The sequence below is a fragment of the Homo sapiens genome, chromosome 8 (genome assembly GCF_000001405.40).
Source record: "Homo sapiens chromosome 8, GRCh38.p14 Primary Assembly".
Classification (NCBI taxonomy): domain Eukaryota; kingdom Metazoa; phylum Chordata; class Mammalia; order Primates; family Hominidae; genus Homo; species Homo sapiens.
The window spans coordinates 43,000,045-43,017,333 of NC_000008.11; the positions used below are offsets into that span (position 1 = coordinate 43,000,045).

Below are 17,289 nucleotides of genomic sequence, written 5' to 3' on the forward strand. Positions count from 1 at the left end.
AGCTGAGGCAGGGGAATGGCATGAACCTGGGTGGCGGAGCTTGCAGTGAGCAGAGATTGCGCCACTACACTCCAGCCTGGGCAACAGAGCGAGACTCCGTCTGAAAAAAGAAAGTACTTATCTTTTACTTCTGTTCATGAATTACTAAATCGTTGCTTCTCTTGGCTGCTGTGTTTGCTTCATACTAATTTGTCCTCTCTGTCTCTTGGCATGGTTTCTGCTCAAGGCTATTGTAAGTATGGCTTCCTTTTCATTTTTATATAGTGAGCAGTTTTTGGATTTAGACTGCCATCATAGTTGATGGTGTGGAAAATTTTATTAAGGTAGTTTTGTGCAAAACGAATATCTGGATTACTTGCCTCATAGGTTTAAGACCTTTACAATTAAGATACTCAAAGGATATCGAGCTCTTAAAGAGTCAGCCAACAAGAAGTCTGCTCTTGGTTTTATTCCCCATTCCACTCCTGTTCCATCCCATTATTATAATTAATTCACTTATATAAATTATCTTGATACAGTCTATCCCCCTCCTGCCCCATGCTTTGGTAGGAACAGTCTTCAGTTTGGAGAGGCACTGCAGCATAGGAAGCATAGAGGTGAAGGACATGCATGGACTCTGGGGTCTGGCAGACCTGGGTTTTGGATCTGCCACTTAAAAGCTACTAAATGTTCTCCAGCCTGCCCTTCCTCAACTGTAAGATGGGGCTATTGTTACACAGGCTGTGAGGTTTACATATGACAGTGTCTATGACATGATTTAGAGCATTGTTTGGCATATTAACCATCCATTTAACTATGTTACTACATATCTTCTCAGAGTTAAAGTTTTGCTAGAGTCTAATCAAAACATAAGCACAGAATTAAAGTTTCTAAAATGTATTTACATTTTACCCCTGTGCTAAAGAAGGAATGAGCAATAATCGAAAGTTAATAGAGTTGGCCGGGCACAGTGGCTCACACCTGTAATCCCAGCACTTTGGGAGGCCGAGGTGGGAGGAGGATCACTGAGGCCCACAAGTTTGAGACCAACCTGGGCAACAAAGTGAGATCCTGTCTCTATTTTTTTTTTTTTAATTTTTTATAAAACAAAGGTAACAGGGTTATCTTTTTGTATATTTGGGAAGCGGTGATAGAGGACATGTGGATCTACTGAGGTAACTATAGTTAACATATTGAGGAAAGAAGTGAAATTTGAAGTATTATAGAGCTGTGTTAGAATGGAAGTGAATACAAAATTGTGGTAATTATTATCAAAAGAACTTAGTGTGAGGGTTCCTTTTCCCTTATCACTGGCATTGATTGGACAATTTGTTTTATAAGCCTATATTAATTGGGTTTTGACTGAATTAATTATATAACCATTTATCTCAAAATGAAATGTTCCATAAAATTTATTAATAGTATATACTGTATAAGTGTTAAATTATGAAATTTAGTGGTCTTATAGAGAATGTCTTTATTGTTTATTTTTAGGTCAATTTTGATCTCCTGCTTTTCAGGAGACTTTTTTTTTTTTTACCCAGTGAAAGCTACATTCTCCAACATATTAAAGGCTGTGCATCTGCCATCCTTCACATTCCCATACCACTGCATAAATTATTTGTAACCTGTGCATTTTCATAAGTCACTGATTAAGTCAGACATATTTATAGAAGCTGGCCCAATACTTTATCATGACTCAAGGAAAATAGTATAGCAGATAAGTGTCTTAAAGGAAGTCTATTATTACTAGGGTCCTGTCTGCCTGCCAAATCCAGGAATATTAGGTCTATAATTAAGTGACTTTTTCATTCCTATTTTATTCATCTGCCCGACTATAAATAGAGAATTCATATATATCCAGGTTGTGGGTATTTCATACTGATTGTCATCCCTTAGGGGCTGTGCTCTCCCTTTATTAAAGAGATTTAAACTGGGGTACATTGTGTGTTTTCAGCTCTTTGACCAAACAAATTACTGAAAGCTCACTCAAAATTAATGACTATTGTACTTTTAACTTAAAAGAAAATACTATTTTAGTTAAAATGTGAGGTAATAAACTAATTTTGTTTTTCATTTTTAGTCAGTCCTTCTAAAAAAGAAGCTTGAAGAACATCTGTAAGTATAAAAGCTGTTGAGGCTGATTCTTCTATAGTGGAACACATGTGCTTTGTGTTAGGTAGTTACGGTGTGTCTGGGCGTTGGCACAGGTGGCCCTTGAAGAAATAGAAAATTATAATACATATTATGAGAGTCTGAAGGGTCACTTCTCCCCAAGGTTCTCAGGTCAGAATGATGACTGCTTTAGAACTGCCTTCTCAAGTGAGACTTCAGGGTTTTCTGTCTTTGTGATAATCATAGTTAGGAGTTTGAGACACTCTAGATCATGGGTCAGACACCTCTTTCTATAAGGGGTCAGATAGTAATTGCTTTTTAGGAGTTGAAAGCTGGTCTCTGTCACAGCCACTCAGCTCTGCAGTTGTAGCTTGAAAACAGCCATAGACAATACATCAATTAATGGTTGTGACCATGTTGTAGTAAAACTTTATAGATACGAACAGGCAGCAGTCTGGTTTTGGCCCATGGGCTATAGCTTGCCAGCTCTAAAGTATTGCCAGCTTAATCTATTTATTTAAAAATAAAAGTTAAGAGACAAGGTCTTTTAAAAAAGAGACCCTGTCTTTAAGAGACTTTAAGGTCTTTAAGAGGCAGGGTCACTATGTTTCCCAGGCTGGACTTGAACTCCTGGTCTCAAGTGATCCTCCTGCTGCAGCCTTCTGAGTAGCTGGCATTACAAGTACATGCCAGCACACCCAGTCTAATCTTCTTTCTTAAGTAAATTTTTTAAAGTCTATAAAAGCTTGTCAGTAGATTTTCAAATATTTCCTGGAATTACAAACAAGGACTTTGTGGTATAAAAGATGAAGTAAATTTTAAAATATTCACATATTTTTTTTCATGAAGAAGAAGTCTTCTCTCTTTATCTTTAACTGAGGTTGACCATATTAGAGATGTTTCATAATTTTTCTTGCACCCAGTAACAACCTTAATCCTTCTCATCCTTTTCTAGCAAAACTCCGGGCAAGCATTGAATTAGTGACTGTGAATTAATAGCCTGTTAAAGTGTTACAACTTTACACTGTGCTAAACCAGACATCCTCAGTACCACAAAGATAATTTGGATTTATTCTACTAGGATGCGAAAGAAATTCTCTTCTGGCAATTTGCCTCATGCTATCCAGTTTGTGTTTTTGTGTTTTAAATGATAAATGTGGGAGACACAAGATACTCCTGGCGACAGATTTGCTAGCAATTCAAGCAGTGGGCAGATTCTTAATGTACTAGAACAGAAAATATTACTTTTGCCTTTTGTGAGATTACCTGCAATGAGAGTTTAGTACTGAATTCTGTCCTTTAAAAAAAAAATTCTCATTCCTTTATGGCAAAAAATATAATACCTGTCATTTCATAGAACTACCAACTGACCATTATTCTGTGCGCAGTCATTTACATGGTGAAAAATCTTCATCAGAAAGGATTTATTAGTGAAGATGGAGCCTGTATTAGTTCTTATAGCTACCATGTCAAATTACCATACACTAGGTGGTTTATGGCAGCATAAATTTATTCTCTCATAGTTCTGGAGGCTAGAAGAACCAAGGTGGCAGCAGGCTGGTTCCTTCTTGAGGTTTGGAGGGACAATCTGCTCTGTGATCCTTCTTGTGGCTGGTAACCGCCAGCAGTCCTGATGTTTTTGGTTGTAGACAGATCACTCCAGTCTCTTTCTCCACCTTCACATGTCATTCTTTTCTCTGTATGTCTGTGTCTAATGACCTTCTTATAAGGATGCCAATCATTGGATTTAGGGCCTTCCCTGATCCAGCGTGCCCTCATCTTAGCTACTTACACCTGTAAACACCCAATTTCCAAATACTGTCACATTCATATATCCTAGGAGTTAAAACTCCAATTTTTCTTTTTAGGAGACACAATTCAGCCCACCACAGGAGCCACAGATATCTCCAAATATGGCCAGCCTCATGCATATTTAAAATGACAGTGGTCCAGGTGTGGTGGCTCACGCCTGTAATCCCAGCACTTTGGGAGGCCAAGCAGGTCAATCACTTGAGGTCAGGAGTTTGAGACCAGCCTGGCCAACATGGTGAAACTCTGTCTCTACTAAAAATACAAAAATTAGTGGGGCATGGTGGCGTGCACCTGTAATCCTAGCTACTCAGGAGGCTGAGGCAGTAGAATCACTTGAACCCAGAAACCAGAGGTTGCAGTGAGCCGAGATCACACCACTGCACTCCAGCCTGAGCAACAGAGCAAGACTCTGTCTCAAAAAAAAAAAAAAAGAAAGAAAAGAAAAAAAAGTCAGGTGCGGTGGCTCACACCTGTAATCCCAGCACTTTGGGAGGCCGAGGCAGGTGGATCACTCAAGGTCAGGAGTTCGAGACCAGCCTGGACAACATGGTGAAGCCTCATCTCTACTAGAAATACAAAAATTAGCCAGGCATGGTGGCGCATGCCTGTAATCCCAGCTACTTGCAAGGCTGAGGCAGGATAATTGCTTGAACCTGGGAGGCAGAGGTTGCAGTGAGCCGAGGTCATGTCACTGCACTGCAGCCTGGGAGGCAGAGCAAGACTCCATCTAAAAAAAAAAAAAAAAAAAAAAACTACAATGGAGACCATTTTACACATCAAATTGTTAACATTTAAAAAATCCAACATACTGAGTATTGCCGAAGATGTTGAGCAATGGCAATTCTCATCCATTGCTGGTAGGAGCATACATCAGTCTGCTTAGTAAACCTGGACATGCCACATACTCTGTGACCTCTCAGTTCTACTATATATATCCAAGATTCCTAGAAATATTGTCCGTGCATACCAGGAGGCATTTAAAAGAAAGTATGGAAGAGCATTGTAATCACAGAAAAGTAAAAATAATATGCAAATGTTCACCAATTGGAAAATGATTGAATGAGGTATATTCAAACAATAGAATACCAAACAATAGGGGAAATGTGAAATAAACCATGGCTAATACATCAACACAGATGAACCTCAAGAACATAGTGTTTAGTGAAAGATGCAAGTCAGAATAATACGTAATGATTAATGTATAAAATTTAAATTGCACAAAATTAAGTGCTCTCTCTCTCTCTCTCTCTATATATATATATAATTTTTTTTTTTTTTTTTTTTTTTTGAGACGGAGTCTCGCTCTGTCCCCCAGGCTGGAGTGCAGTGGCGCCATCTCAGCTCACTGCAAGCTCCGCTTCCCGGGTTCACGACATTCTCCTGCCTCAGCCTCCCGAGTAGCTAGGACCACAGTCATCTGCCACCACGCCTGGCTCATTTTTTGTGTGTTTTTAGTAGAGACAAGGTTTCACCATCTTAGCCAGGATGGGCTTGATCTCCTGACCTCGTGATCCGCCTGCCTCGGCCTTCCAAAGTGCTGGGATTACAGATGTGAGCCACCGCGCCTGGCCTAAGCAATATATTTTTTAGGAATAGCACAAAGACAATAAAACCATCATGAATTTAATGAGAATGATTCAAATTCTGACTTTGGTTACCTCTGGGAAGAATATAGAGACATGCATGACTACTAAGTTTTGGGGATGATTTGTATTTATTTTTATTTTTATGTTTTTAAACTATATTTATTTATTTATTTATTTTGAGACGGAGTTTCACTCTGTCACCCAGGCTGGACTGCAGTGGCATGATCTCGGCTCACTTCAACCTCTGCCTCCCGGGTTCAAGCAGGTCTCTGCCTTGGCCTCCCAAGTAGCTGGGATTACAGGCCCCCCCCCACCACACCCAGCTCATTTTTGTACTTTTAGTAGAGACGGGGTTTCACCATGTTGGACAGGCTGGTCTTGAACTCCTGACCTTGTGATCCACCCGCCTTGGCCTCTCAAAGTGCTGGGATTACAGGTGTGAGCCACCGCACCTGGTCTATTTATTTATTTATTTATTTATTTATTTATTTTTATTTATTTTGAGATGGAGTCTCGCTCTGTCGCCCAGGCTGGAGTGCAGTGGTGTGATCTCGGCTCACTGCAAGCTCCGCCTCCCGGGTTCACGCCATTCTCCTGCCTCAGCCTCCCGAGTAGCTGGGACTACAGGCGCCCACCACCACGCCCAGCTAATTTTTTGTATTTTTAGTAGAGATGGGGTTTCACCGTGTTAGCCAGGATGGTCTTGTTCTCCTGACCTCGTGATCCGCCTGCCTCAGCCTCCCAAAGTGCTGGGATTACAGGTGTTAGCCACTGCGCCCAGCCTATTTATTTTTTTGAGACGGAGTCTCACTCTGTTGCCCAGGCTGGAGTGCAGTGGCACAATCTCGGCTCACTGCAACCTCCGCCTCCCAGGTTCAAGCAATTCTCCCACCTTAGCCTCCCGAGTAGCTGAGTAGCTGGGACTACAGGCAAACACCACCATGCCCGGCTAATTTTTTGTATTTTAGTAGAGATGGGGTTTCACCATGTTGCCCAGGCTGGTCTCGAACTCCTGAGCTCAGGCAGTCTACCCACCTTGGCCTCCCAAAGTGCTAGGATTACAGGCATGAACCACTGTGCCCAGCCAATTTCTATTTTTTAACATGGTAGTGATTCATTGGGCTTAGTTGTATTATTCTTTTAACTGTTATATTGTATATGTTCTTTGTCATAGGTCATAAATGCATACAAGTCTCATCTTCAAAAAATTTATTGAGAAAGAAAAAGGTTTATTAAAGCATCATGCATAGAAAAGATCAGAAAGACGTAAAGTGCTTTTTTTTAATTAGTGATTTTCTCTATCTTCCCATTTTTGCAGCCTTTTTTCCTAGTTATGTTACATAGTGCCATATTAAATATGATAAAGGGAAAATTACACATATTATCAAATACCAGGGGAAAATATCTCACTTTCAGTTAATTATTTAAATACCTTTATATTGGAATATAACATATAAAGTACACGTCTTAAGTTCCTAGATTTTTTTTTTTTTTTTTTTTTTTTTTTTGAGATGGAGTCTCACTCTGTCATCCAGGCTGGAGTACAGTGGCACCATCTTGGCTCACTGCAACCTCTGCCTCCCAGGTTCAAGCGATTCTCCCTCCCATGTAGCTGGGATTACAAGCACCCACCACCACACCCGGCTAATTTTTCTATTTTTAGCAGAGACTGGGTTTTGCCATGTTGGCCAGGCTGGCCTTGAACTTGTGATGTCAAGTGATCCGCCTGCCAAGGCCTCCCAAACCTAGGTGACCCGGATCGGTTCTTCATTCTTCCTCCCAGTAGATTGACCACAAAACTAGCCACACAGCTGATCTGTATCACCTTCCACTCATTTTAACATCAGTGTACGTAACAGAATCGTACATTGTTACCGCTTTGACTTCCTTTGTTCGACATTCTGTGAGATCTATTCATGTGGTTGAGTATATCATTAGTTCATTTTTTTATTGATAGGTAGTGTTCTATTTGTTAATTCTTATTTTTAGAACTTCATTTTTTTGCAACAAGATTTTGCATGGTAAAACCTTTGCAAAGTTATCTAAATATTCCTAGAAAAAATGTATACCCTCTCTTTATGCAGGTCTATCTAAACTAAATGACTACTTTTTCAAACAGAGGAATTTTTTTGTCTTTATTTTTTACTTATTTTTTAAATATATTAAATTTGTGTTTTGTCTTTTCATATATGTTTCATATCACTTGCATGCAATGCAAGTGTAATCCAAATATAAGGAACTCAGATCTTTAATTTGAACTGGAAAAAATTACAGAAGCAGTAGTAGGTGATGTTTACCTGTTTGTTACAGAGAGAAGCTGCATGAGGCCAATAATGAACTACAGAAGAAGAGAGCCATTATTGAAGATCTCGAGCCAAGATTTAACAACAGCTGTGAGTTTTCCTAATTAGGATAGTTTTTAAGTGGGCTTGCTGTATACTGCCATAGTGATAGTGAGTTTACATAATTTTTAATTATTTATTTTTTATTTTTATTTTTTTTGAGATGAAGTCTCACTCTCACCCAGGCTGGAGTGCAGTGGTGCGATTTTGGCTCACTGCAAGCTTTGCCTTTTGGGTTCTTGCCATTCTCCTGCCTCAGCCTCCTGAGTAGCTGGGACTACAGGTGCCCGCCACTACGCCCGGCTAATTTTTTGTATTTTTAGTAGAGATGGGGTTTCACCATGTTAGCCAGGATGGTTTCGATCTCCTGACCTCGTGATCTGCCCGCCTCGGCCTCCCAAAGTGCTGAGATTACAGACATGAGCCACTGTGCCCAGCCTGTTTATTTATTTTTGAGATAGGGTCTGGCTGTGTTGCCCAGACTGGAGTAAATGGTATGATCACAGCTCACTGCAGCAGTCTTGACCTCCCATGCTCAAGCCATCCTTCTACCTAACCACCCCGCCAATAGCTGTGATACAGGCATGAGCCACCCTGCCCGGCTAATTTTTATAATTTTTTGTAGAGACGGGATTTTGCCATGTTGCCCAGGCTAGTTTTGAACTTCTGAGCTCAAGTCACTTGCCCACCTCAGTCTCCCAAAGTACTGGGATTACAGATGTGAGCAACCATACCTGGCCTATATTAAATTTTTATTTTTATTTTTATTTTTATTTTTATTTTTATTTTTTTTTTTTTTGAGACGGAGTCTCGCTCTGTCGCCCAGGCTGGAGTGCAGTGGCGGGATCTCGGCTCACTGCAAGCTCCACCTCCCGGGTTCACGCCATTCTCCTGCCTCAGCCTCCCAAGTAGCTGGGACTACAGGCGCCCGCCACTACGCCCGGCTAATTTTTTGTATTTTTAGTAGAGACGGGGTTTCACCGTTTTAGCCGGGATGGTCTCGATCTCCTGACCTCGTGATCCGCCCGCCTCGGCCTCCCAAAGTGCTGGGATTACAGGCGTGAGCCACCGCGCCCGGCCTAAATTTTTATTTAAGAAATAGGCTCTATTGGCTGGGTATGGTAGCTCATGCCTGTAATCCTAGCAATTTGGCAGGCCAAGGTAGGAGGATTGCTTGAGCCCAGGAGTTCAAGACCAGCCTGGGGAACACAGCAAGACCCTGTCTCACAAAAAAGAAAGAAGGCCAGCAACGGTGGCTCACTCCTGTAATCCTAGCACTTATTTGGGAGGCCGAGGTGGGTGGATTGCCTGAGCTCAGGAGTTTGAGACCAGCCTGGGCGACGTGGTAAAAGCCCATCTCTACTAAAAATACAAAAAATTAGCCGGGGGTGGTGGCAAACACCTGTAGACCCAGCTACTCGGGAGGCTGAGGCAGGAGAATCGCTTGAGCCCAGGAGGCAGAGGTTGGAGTGAGCCGAGATCTCGCCACTGTGCTCCAGTGAGACTGTCTCCAAAAAAAAAAAGAAAGAAAGAAATAGGCTCTATTTACATATAGGGAGTATATAATCATCTTTATAATGTCTTTCTGATTGTACTTTGAATTTTTCGTTAACTCTGTATTCTAATGAATATTATATGATGTTAAGATATTTTCATAATGTAGTTCCATGTAAGTCATCCAGACCTGTGCTTCCCAAATATTTACTCCTGTAGGTAGCTTGATTTTGTTAATTCTTTTGTATTAATAAAGAGATAAGAGGTGAGAGAACAGACTTATTTTTATTATGGTAAAATATACAAAACACACCCATTTTAAGCCATTTTTAGTGTATAGTCCAGTGACATTAAGGACATTCACATAGCACAACTCTCACTTTTACCCATCTACAAAACTGTATCATCTCAAACCGAAGTTCTCTATCATTAAACAATAACTCTCCCTTCCTTCCTCTCCCCAGCCGCTAATAACTGCTATTCCATTTTCTGTCTCTGAATTTGACTATTCTAGGTCACTCATATAAGTAGAATCATATAATATTTGTCCTTTTGTATCTGGTTTATTTCACTTAACATAATGTCTCCATATCATAGCATGTGTCATAACTAAGGCTGAATAATATTATATCTATGTACTACATTTTGTTTATCCATTCATCCCTCATGGATTCTTTATTTATGTACTTCCATACTGGAGTTTTTATTTATTTATAAGAAAATCTTTTTGTAAAAAAAAAAAAAAAAATTCTGAATTTTTTTAAAATAAAATTATGTGTAAAAATAGACCAGTCTCTCAAAGCTGTTAACTATTTGTTATTAGTCAATTAAAATATTTTTAAAATTGTGGTAATCTAAAATAAATTTATTTATATTATAACAATTTATATATATTATCTAAATATATATATTTTACTGTGTCTCATCTGCAGCCTTAAAAATTGAAGAATTACAAGAAGCTTTACGAAAGAAAGAGGAAGAAATGAAGCAAATGGAAGAACGATACAAAAAATACTTAGAGAAAGCCAAAAGTGTAAGTATGAATTTTGTAGGCATCTCACTCTACCTTCTGATCACATTTCAGTGAAGTCTCAAATATAATGGACGGACACTACAGCAACTTCTTAATGCAGAAAACTCTCAGGAGAAGAACAAATCTTATAACAAATAAAAAGAACCTGAGCAACAAGCAGTGCTCAAAATAGGTCATTCCATGGATTACTTACTAATTACCAAGAGGAAAATGTACTTTGTGTGGGAAATGAGTGGCACTTGCCACCTTATTAGTCATCAAAATTAACAACACCAATTAATGATAGGACAGCCGATATCCTGTGCCTCTTGATGGAGTATCGTTGTAAATAATAGTTAACCTGAATTTAAGCAACCTTCTATTTCCAGTTCACAGGCAAAATAAGGTTTATTGGAACAAGCTAAATAACACGTTCAGGAAACCATCAGGTAAATTCAAAATTTGGAATAGAAGTCACTGTCATGAAAACAAGAACAGGCCGTGGATTGTGGGAGAGCACAGGACCCATTCTAATTGAAAAGAGCCCCCTGCTAATTGCCAAATCAAGGCATTCATCTCTGAGTCCTGGACTGGGGGTTAAGGGGGTCCATTTTCTTTTTTTTTTTGAGATGGAGTCTCGCTCTGTCGCCCAGGCTGGAGTACAGTGGCACGATCTTGGCTCACTGCAAGCTCCGCCTCCCGGGTTCACGCCATTCTCCTGCCTCAGCCTCCCGAGTAGCTAGGACTACAGGCGCCTGCCACCACACTCGGCTAATTTTTTGTATTTTTTAGTAGAGACAGGGTTTCACTGTGTTAGCCAGGATGGGCTTGATCTCCTGACCTCGTGATCCGCCCGCCTCGGCCTCCCAAAGTGCTGGGATTACAGGTGTGAGCCACCGTGCCTGGCCAAGGGGGTCAGTTTTCTTACAGATGATAATGCTTTGTGATTATGTAAGTTAATATCTTTAAGGAGATTTGTGCTCAAGTATTTAAAGGTTATGCATTATGAGGCCTGAATAACTTATTTGGGAGACTTTAAAATAGCCTCCCAAATAAGTAACAGCATGTGTGTGTGTGTGTGTGTGGAGAGAAATCAAATATGGCAGTGAAGCAATTGGTGAGTCTAGGTTAAAGGTAAATGGATTTTTATTCTACCCTTTCAAGTTTTCTATGGGCTTGAACATTTTGATAGTAAAAGTATTAGGGGAGCTGGGCACAGTGGCTCACGCCTGTAATCCTGTCGCTGTAGGAGGTCAAGGCTGGAGGATTGCTTTAGCCCAGGAGTTTGAGGTCAGTCTGGGCAACATATCCAGACTCCGTCTCTACAAAAAAAAGTTTTAAAAAATTAGCTGGTCATGGTGGCATGCACCTGTAATCCTAGCTGTTCAGGAGGCTGGGGCAGGAAAATCACTTGAGCCCTGTGGTTCAAGGCTGCAGTGGGCTATGATCACATCACCGCACTCCAGCCTAGGTGACAGAGCAAGGCTCTGTCTTTAAAAATAAAATAAAACTAAATAAAAATATTGGGTGGAGAAGTAAAAAGACCTTTCCCAGTAGTCCTCTAGTTGGCCAGCCAGAATCACATCCAATGTCCATGCCCAAACAGGATTGCCAGCAGAGGAAGAAATGGGGCCACAGTGATAGGCTTACACCAGTCAGGACCCTCTCCCCAAAGTACGTATCTGATCAGAGACAGAAGTCTAGCAGACCAGATCAGAGGAAAGAAAAAGAGTAGACCACTGTCAGTAGTGTCCGCTGTACAGACACATGTCATTTAATAACAGGGACACGTTCTGAGAAATGCATCCTTAGGTGATTTTGTCATTGTGCAAACATTGTAGAGTGTACTTATGCAAAACTGTATGCTATAGTTTAGTACACAACTAGGCGATATGGTATGGAGTATTGCTTCTAGGTACAAACCTGTACAGCACATTACTGTACTGAATAGTATAAGGAAATAGTTACACAATGTTATTTTTGTGATAGGACTTTTTCAGCTCCTTATAATCTTACGGGACCACCATCATATATGTGGTTCATCGTTGACTGAAACATCATTATGTGGTACATGACTGCATTTATTAATTTTAAGCCAGAATTACTTTTTATAATTGGTTCTTTATATAAGTAAAAAGTTTTATGTTTGTACAAATATTATGTACCCATAAAAAATTTTTACTTCAAGTTACAACAATTAATACTATTTCATACATTTACTTTTAATTTTTTTTAGACAGATTCTTGCTCTGTTGCCCAGGCTGGAGCACAGTGACATGATCTCAGCTCACTGCAGCCTCAACCTCCCAGGCTCAAGTGATCGTCCTGCCTCAGCCTCCAGAGTAGCTGGGACTATAGGGGTGCACCACCACACCCAGCTAATTTTTTAAACACTTTTTGTAGAGATGGTTCTCACTATGTTGCCCAGGCTGGTCTCAAACTCCTGAGCTAAAGTGATCCACCTGCCTCAGCCTCCCAAAGTGCTGTGATTACAGGCATGAGCCACCACTCCAGGCCGCATTTACTTTTTAAAATACCCTTGTAAGATAACCTTTGATTTTTCATAAGTTTATCCTTTTATTTTAAAAAAATAGTCATTCTTTTCTTAAACGTTACATTCTTTAAGTTTGAGACTTTTTAAATTTTTCTTTTATTATTTTTTGCAGGTCATCCGTACTTTAGATCCTAAACAGAATCAAGGAGCAGCACCAGAAATACAAGCTCTTAAAAATCAGCTCCAGGAACGAGACCGACTGTTCCACTCATTAGAGGTAGTTTACTATACTGTACAATAAAATAATTGTGTTTTGATTTTAATGTTTTGGGAGCCTTGTTATATTTTACAATTGTGTTCATGAGTTTTAACAATTAATTGTAAGTATTTTATTTATATTGAGTTATTTTATATCTTTACATATTTACATGTGCTTTTTTTTTTTTTTAGAAAGAATATGAGAAAACAAAGAGTCAGAGAGAGATGGAAGAGAAATATATTGTTAGTGCCTGGTACAATATGGTAAGAAAATAGTACTTTGGAGCATAATGAAAACTTCAATGAATATGTAATACTTATTATATTCCCTTTACTGTAGAAGTCACTCTACCAAATGAATCTGAAAGTAACTGCTATCCTAACATACACTAACAGAATCTTAATGTTATTTCTGAACTGAAAAGCAACTATGAGAACCACTGTAAACAGGGTTAGAGCATTTTGAAAACATTATTTCTAGAGGATAGAAAGATAAATGTCAGTCTAATTTCTGTCCCTCAGAGACTTTATTGTAAGAGAAGGGACATTAATACCATCTAAACACAGATGCAATAGTTTTTGTTTTGTGGGATTATTTCAGTGTCTTTGCAGGATGGTATTTGATTGAGGGTAGTTTATCTCATGGGGTTTGGAAAATGTTCACAATGTCAGACCCTGAACCACTGCAGGTTTTGAAATTGAATATCCCAACACAAAAACTAATGCTCATCAGCATCCTGGTTGGGATGTGAATAGTTACGGATTTTAAAGAGTGCTGCACTTCTGAAGTATTTTTTCAAGACTTTCTGTCTTCCTTTTGTTTTTTGTTCTTCCCAATAAGACCACTTCTGCTTTTAAAAAATGTTAGTTGGCCAGGCGTGATGGCTCACTTCTGTAATCCCAGCATTTTGGGAGGCCAGGTGGGCGGATCACGAGGTCAGAAGTTTGAGACCAGCCTGGACAACGTGGTGAAACCCTGTCTCTACTAAAAATACAAAAATTAGCTGGGCATGGTGGCACATGCTTGTAATCCCAGCTACTTGGGAGGCTGAGGCAGGAGAATCGCTTGAACTTGGGAAGCAGAGGTTGCAATGAGCCGAGATTGTGCCATTGCACTCCAGCCTGGGTGACACAGCAAGACTGTCTCAGAAAAAAAAAAAAAAAAAAAAAAGTTGTCCAAGACAAGAAATGGGACCAGATTCCATTTATTTATTTATTTATTTATTTATTTTTGAGATAGAGTCTCGCTGTGTATCCTAGGCTGGAGTGCAGTGGTGTGATCTCGGCTCACTGCAACCTCCGCCTCCCAGGTTCAAGCGATTCTTCTGCCTCAGCCTTCCAAGTAGCTGGGACTACAGATGCCTGCCAGCACGCCCGAATAATTTTTGTATTTTTAGTAGAGACAGGTTTTCACCATATTGGCCAGGCTGGTCTCGAACTCCTGACCTTGTGATCCACCTGCCTTGGCCTCCCAAATGCTGGGATTACAGGCGTGAGCCACCGCACCCAGCCCCAGATTCCTTTTAACATCCCACTGTGACCCTGTAGCTCTGTTACTGGCACAGTACCATTGTTTTTGTTTTACAGTTATAATTGATAACTGCCTCTTAAAGGTTAGTGTCCCTGGCCTCTGAACACTGTGATTTGATCTTTGTCAAAAATTCATAAATTTCATTATATATTATTTTCACATCTGTATTTGCCTTGGTCAAAACTGTGTAACGATGGCTCGGTGCGGTGGCTAATGCCTGTAATCATGGCACTTTGGGAGTCTGAGGCAGGCAGATCACCTGAGGTCAGGAATTTGAGACCAGCCTGGCCACAACATGGTAAAACCCCGTCTCTACTAAAAATACAAAAATTAGCCAGGCATGGTGGCACATGCCTCTAGTCCCAGCTACTCAGGAGGCTGAGGCACGAGAATCGCTTAAACCCGGGAGGCGGAAGTTGGGATTGCACCACTTTACTCCAGCCTGGGTGACAGAGTGAGACTCTGTCTCAAAAAAAAACAAAAAACAAAAACTGCATATCTAAGATTTTATTGCAATTTTAAAACCAGAGAGGAAATCGTATCAGAGTTAGAATACTATTATTGACAAATATAGGCTATGCACGATGGCTCACACCTGTAATCCCAGCACTTTGGGAGGCCAAGGTGGGCGGGTCACCTGAGCTCAGGAGTTGGAGACCAGCCTGGCCAACATGGTGAAACCCCATCTCTACTAAAAATACAGAAATTAGCAGGTTGTGGTGGCGGGTGCCTGTAATCCCAGGTACTCCGGAGGCTGAAGCAGGAGAATCGCCTGAACCCAGGAGGTGGAGGTTGCAGTGAGCCGAGATCACACCACTGCCCTCCAGCCTTGACGACAGAGCGAGACTCCGTCTCAGAAAACAAACAAACAAATACAGATTTCTTGAAAATTAAAATTCAAGAAATAGAAAAAATAAAACTATATATTTAAAGAAATTCTCTGGGAATTAGTCCTAACTTTTAAACTATTCTGTCTCTTCCCTGTCCTCCTGGAAGCTTAGTGTTAGCAATCTAGGAGCTCTGCATTTCAGGCCTTATTAATAATTTCATATTACTATTATTATTTTTTGAGACGGAGTCTCACTTTGTCACCCAGGCTGGAGTGCAGTGGTGCAATCTTGGCTCACTGCAACCTCCGCCTCCCGGGTTCAAGCAAGTCTCTGCCTTAGCCTCCCGAGTAACTGGGGTTACAGGCGCCCGCCACCACGCCTGGCTAATTTTTGTATTTTTAGTAGAGACAGGGTTTCACCATCTTGGCCAGGCTGTTCTTGAATTCCTGACCTCGTGATTCACCCGCCTCAGTCTCCCAAAGTGCTGGATTACAGGCATGAGCCACCCCACCGAGCCCAATAATCTCATATTCTGGATTGATTTTTATGACTTCACATATTTTGTTTCTTATGGAGCCAGAATGATTTATTCTGTGAAGTGGTACTAAAGAATAGTCCTAATTTGTTTTTTTTTTTTTTAAATGGAGTCTTTCTCTGTCGCCCAGGCTGGAGTGCAGTGGCACGATCTCGGCTCACTGTAAGCTCCGACTCCTGGGTTCACGCCATCCTCTTGCCTCAGCCTCCCGAGTAGCTGGGACTACAGGCGCCCGACACCACGCCTGGCTAATTTTTTGTATTTTGTTTAGTAGAAACAGGGTTTCACCGTTTTAGCCAGGATGGTCTCAATCTCCTGACTTCATGATCCACCCTCCTCGGCCTCCCAAAGTGCTGGGATTACAGGCATGAGCCACCGCGCCCGGCCAGAATAGTCCTAATTTTTAACTCTTCAGAGAGTGAAGGAATAACTCCAAATAGACTCCCAGAAGTTATGTTCAGATAAGTAAACCATCATGCTTACATTCAGAAAGTTCTGCTTCTCAGGTAACTTAAATGGAAATGGAAATGATGAGTGCTGGGAAGAGGTATTAAGTAGCTCAGAGAATGCCCTTGCAATAGACTGAGGTCTTTAACCTATGTGAAGAATTTGAATAAATTGCTTGAAATGTGAAAGTGGAAAAATGAGAATATTTAAATAAAATACAAATTTTTAATATATGTAGCCAAATGTATAAGTTAAAGATTACCAATAAATATTTGTCAATTTTATTCAAAACTTTAAATTCTCTGATTTCAAGTTGAGTTTAAAAACATATTTTAGATTTTTCTTATTTGGAAAATATTATGTATTTGGGTTGATAGAATAGACTGAAATTGTATTAAAAATGCAAAGCTGAGGTTGGGCGCATGGGCTCACGCCTGTAATTCCAGTACTTTGAGTGGCCAAGGTGGGAGGATCTCTTGAACCCAGGAGTTCGAGACCAGCCTGGGCAACATGGCAAGACTCCGTCTAAAAAAAAAATGAAAAAAGATAAAACAATGCAAAGCCATGACTGTTTTCCCTAGAAACCAGCTAGTGATGTATCTTCCAGCCTTCTGTCTTCTGCACATCCTTCATTGCATCCCGTAGTTTGGCTTTTCCACCTGGCTCTCCTTTTGCCTCTTGATTGCTTTTTTCTTCCTTGCTGCCAGCTTCTGCTTATGCCCAGCAGTTTACTTGCATTCAGTCATTGGTGAGATTAAACAGCAGCTCTCAGTTCTTTCATTTTTGTTGTTGTTGTTATCGTTTTTGAGCCAAGTTCTCGCACTGTTCCCATGCTACAGTGCGGTGGTGTAATC

The 17,289-nt window shown here is 40.5% G+C and overlaps 1 protein-coding gene across 1 annotated transcript in view; it reads left to right on the top strand.

The window, feature by feature from the left end:
- HOOK3 (hook microtubule tethering protein 3) overlaps nucleotides 1-17,289 on the top strand; it is a 133,558-nt gene that overhangs the window by 103,067 nt on the left and 13,202 nt on the right. The window contains exons 17-21 of the mRNA NM_032410.4: nucleotides 2,063-2,097; nucleotides 7,803-7,885; nucleotides 10,261-10,361; nucleotides 13,007-13,111; nucleotides 13,285-13,356. Of these exons, the coding sequence (NP_115786.1) occupies nucleotides 2,063-2,097; nucleotides 7,803-7,885; nucleotides 10,261-10,361; nucleotides 13,007-13,111; nucleotides 13,285-13,356 (396 nt within the window). The remainder of the gene's footprint in view (nucleotides 1-2,062; nucleotides 2,098-7,802; nucleotides 7,886-10,260; nucleotides 10,362-13,006; nucleotides 13,112-13,284; nucleotides 13,357-17,289) is intronic.